This window comes from Homo sapiens, chromosome 10, assembly GCF_000001405.40.
Source record: "Homo sapiens chromosome 10, GRCh38.p14 Primary Assembly".
Classification (NCBI taxonomy): Eukaryota; Metazoa; Chordata; class Mammalia; order Primates; family Hominidae; genus Homo; species Homo sapiens.
The window spans coordinates 59,136,147-59,140,601 of NC_000010.11; the positions used below are offsets into that span (position 1 = coordinate 59,136,147).

General features: G+C 39.3%; 1 pseudogene; it reads right to left on the bottom strand.

The window, feature by feature from the left end:
• TRAF6P1 (TNF receptor associated factor 6 pseudogene 1) lies at positions 281-2,236 on the bottom strand (annotated as a pseudogene).
• Positions 2,237-4,455: the final 2,219 nt, after the last annotated feature.

Sequence of the window (4,455 nt, forward strand, 5' to 3'; positions counted from 1 at the left end):
CATTTTACTTTTTGTACCATTTACATTTCATAATTTCTCCCATTTTTGTGATTTTCACATTTAATATGTTGTATATAATGCTATAAAAATAGATTGAAGTTTTAAGGAAAGTTCATTATTATTAAAAGTTTAGTACTCTGAGTCTGGGCTTTCTGACAATAAAATACACCAGAGCAAAAGCCCAAGGAAGTACAACAAAGAGGTATACTAATTGACAAAATAGCTGCTGCAACATGCCACAGGCACTTCAGGCCTAACATTTCTGAAAAAGCATGGAACATGTGGATTCCCGGGAAAAAACTGCCTCAGATCATTTGTAAGAGGAAGAAATAGTAAGTGACCTCTCTAACCAAAACTGGCTAGTAGATACTACATCTTTCCCGTGGCATTTTTGTTTGTTTGCGTGTTATTGAGAACAGGGCAAGGAAAGGCACTGTTTTCTCCAGGTAGTTGTTTTTGAACAAGTGAGGGCAAGCTATACCCCTGCATCAGTACTTTGTGGCTGAAAACCCTCCCTCTGAAGGCTATCCATGTCAAAGCGGGTGGAGACCTCACAGTGCACTAATAATGTGTCATCCTTAATGAAAGTTCTTTGTCTTAGGGCTTCCAGATGCATAAAAGTTACATAGCCAAAACCTTTTGGGTTCCGTGGGATTGTGGGTCGCTGGAAAGCAAGCAGCTCTGGTTTGGCATCCATTATCTCTTCGTGGTTTTTGCCTTACAGGTGCTTGAGACTGATCAAGAATTGTAAGGCATATTGTATCCTGGAAGGGCCAAGGGAGGTGGCTGTCATACTCTCCTTGCATTGTGTGGACAAAAAGGGATATATAGTTTGCACAGCGCTGAGCAGTCGGTAACGGAAGGTGCAAGCGCATGCACAGTTTGTACCTGTGTTTACCCGTGTAGAATCCAGGGCTATGAATCACAACAGGTTTCTGCTCTTCTTAACATTTCAAATTCATTCCCAATCTTCCAAATGTAAATTCCATTGCACTGCTGTGCTTCAATTTCAGCAACTTTGTCCTCAAGGGTTCGAATGGTTCGTTTGAGCTCACTTACATACATACTCTGAGTTTCCATTTTATCAGTCAGCTCCCGGATTTGATGACATTGTCTTACAAGGCGACCCTCTAACTGGTGAATACTTTCCTGGAAATTCCGGACCTCTGAGATATACCCAGAGTCGGGTATAAGGCTCAAACTATGAACAGCCTGGGCCAACATTCTCATGTTTGATTGGGTGTTCTCTTGTAGGTGGCGTGCCAAGTGATTCCTCCGCATCTTTTCATGGCTACGAAAAGTACGGAATGTGCATGGAATTGGGGCTGTAGGGCGGTCTAGGTCATAAAGTTAGGCATCTGTTCTCTGATGAGTATAGTATTGCAGTACTCACAGATGACATTTGCCAAAGGGCAGTTCTGGTCATGGATCTTTTTATCTTCAAATGCCATTGATGCAGCACAGTTGTCACAAGATACCTGCCTCCTTGGACAACCCTTCATAATGTAAATATTAATATGGAATTTTTGGAAGGGAGGCTGGCATTGGGGACAATCCATAAGAGCAAACTCACAATGTGTTTGATGATCCTCAAGATGTCTCAGTTCCATCTTGTGCAAACAACCTTCATTTGGACACTTCACTATCAGAGAAATAATCTCACGTTTTGCAAAATTGTCTGGAAATAGTTAATTTTCCAGCAGTATTTCATTGTCAACTGGATATTTGTGACCTGCATCCCTTATTGATTTTATGATGCAGGCTTTGCAGAACCTATGGCTGCATGGCGTTTGCACTGCTTCTCGTAATGCCATCAAGCAGATGGGGCATTCATACTTGCTTTCCAGGGGTGGGCCAAACTCTACATCATATCCCTGGATCTCCTCCATAAAGGAGCTGAAGAGGTTCCCCGTGCTGGCAGTTCTGCCCACACTATCATTTTTTGTTGCTGCGCTACAGGAGCTGGCCATGGCCACACAGTAGTCACTTTGAGACTGGCTGGATCCACACCTGTTTTCACAGTTTAGCAGACTTATAGTAACTTGATTATCACTTGCTCGCTCAAGTGCACGGGGCGGGCGGCCGAACCAGGCGGGCAGGCGCACGACTCTGCTCAGCCAAGGCGCTGGTAGAGGACGGACACAGAGGCTGCTTGGACGTCAAACTCTGCAACCAAAGGGCGCCGTCGCCACCTCCGCGGGCCGCCCGCAGGCCAAGCCCCAGCTGCGGACACCACTGCTTCCGCCTTCTCTAAAACATTTTTTCGCATTACACCCTGTGAGAAAGATTCCAGTCTCCACTCTGCAAATGAGAAAACTGAAGAAAAGACAGGTGAAGTGATTTAGTTGAGCTTGTACCACTAGCCAGTGGATAAGACTCTGATCGCCCTGTTTGACTCTAAATCCAGTATTGTTTCTCTACCTGTCTGATAGTATATTCTACTCTTCAGTCCACACGAATACCATTTTTTAATGGGAAATGAAAAATTATTCTTCAGTCAATTATAGTATTACATAAGAATTTATTGAATATTTATACTCCTTCGCTGAGCTTTGGCATTATATTAATTAAATCAAAGTCCCTGCGGGATCCCTCTCTAGAAAGAAAATATGAATCTATAGACATGTTTGTAAAACTGAAGTTTCCAGCACTTTGTAGTATTTTCCATTTACCCACCTTACTCATTTCTACTCCTCTTTAATTTCTACACTTTTCATATACTATCAGACAGAAGATGCCTTCTTTGATATTACCTAGAGTTTACTTACAATTATGCACTGACTTGAAGTCATGGCAAGAGGTAAACCTGCAAGGGGAAGGTGTAGTATATGATATGATTACTTCTGTGTGTGGCTTCTTGGTCCAGATACATGAGAACTGGTTGCTTTGTGTTGCTAAGCTAATTATAGAATAATATGGTTGGCTGAAGAATAATTTTTTAATTTACATATAAAAGGATGGAACATAAAGTCTTGTTTGCATGAGCAGCTACTCAAATAAGTTCTAACGATAGTGGACATAATAGAAGTTCTGATGAAACATAACAATTGAACAAATAAGAATAATTCACTAAAGGAGATTTCATAACATTATACTGTCTCCATGTGATAGAACGATCACCTCCTCTTTGCATGCTAGACCGCTGAGAGTTGACCATGCAGTGTACCAGTATAATTGCTACACAGTATTTCTGCTCTTTGAAACACTAGGAGATGAGAAAGATTTAGAAAAACACATCCTAAATAATATTTATCTTTATTATTGATAGACAATTGAAAATACTGGGAGTTTGAGGGAAGAGTATAGCTTGGTGGTTAAGAGCACTAACTGGGAAGATACATTATATTAAAAATAATGGGCTAAGAAGGGAGACGTATTTGGCAATGAAGGACTAAATTCCAAACAAAATAAACAAGCTAAGGAAAAAGAATGTTCTCTAGGTCCTGGACTAGGCTGTGACTATAGGGTTAAGATAAAGGGATGGCCTGGACTTGATATATGGGTCACCAATGAGGCTATATAACTGGGAACTCTCATTCCTCTTCTATTAATAATTTATTAAAATGTATGGAGAAGAACCACATTCTACTCGAATATCTCCATATCCATAAACAAAGCTTTCTAGCAGTTTTTATTGCCAAGCCCTTCAGGGAAGACAATTACCTTTCTACTTAGTTTAATTTGGCAACTGAAGTCAGAAGAGTAGCTCCTTCAGAGTCTTGGGGTCAGGGAATACTTCTAAAAATATAATTCATTTTTTGCCTACAGGACCATTTGTATTAAAACGAATTGCTCAGTTTCATTTGTAGGAAAAAAAACACATTTTACACTGCTGAAACACAGCTGAGAGGCATTTTTGTCAAATAATTCTTAGGCATAAGAGAAGATGTATGAAAGTGCTTTCATTAAAAGGTAAGGGATCCTTTATTAGTATTCACTCTTTGTGGTCACTGGTTTATGGAAAAATTAGAAGGGAAAAATGAAGCAAGGGAAAAGAAAATGCTAGTGGCTGTTATGTTTGTTTTGTGTTTTTACAACACTAGACAGATGCTACACATCCCTAACTGTGCTTACATAATATCAGGTTATATAAGAAACACCTTACATAATTATTAGTCAGATTATACGGTCTTATGTTTACCATGGAAATATCTATATTCTGCTCCTAAGGCTATGAAATGCTATTTTATGCCTTGAAGGAAGCAATTAATGGACAGGCTAGAAATAAATTTCAATTTCCTTGGAATTTGTTACTAATATTGATGATTTGTTGCATATCCTAAACTCCTTTGACAACAGAAACAGTTTAAGGCAACTCTACCAACCAAAAAGACATATATTTACTCTCTATAACATCAATATTTAAATTTTATTCTAGTGTGTTTAACATAGATATAAATGATTCTGTTTTAACTTCAGTATATCCATGTTTTAACTTATTGTTTTATTAATTGA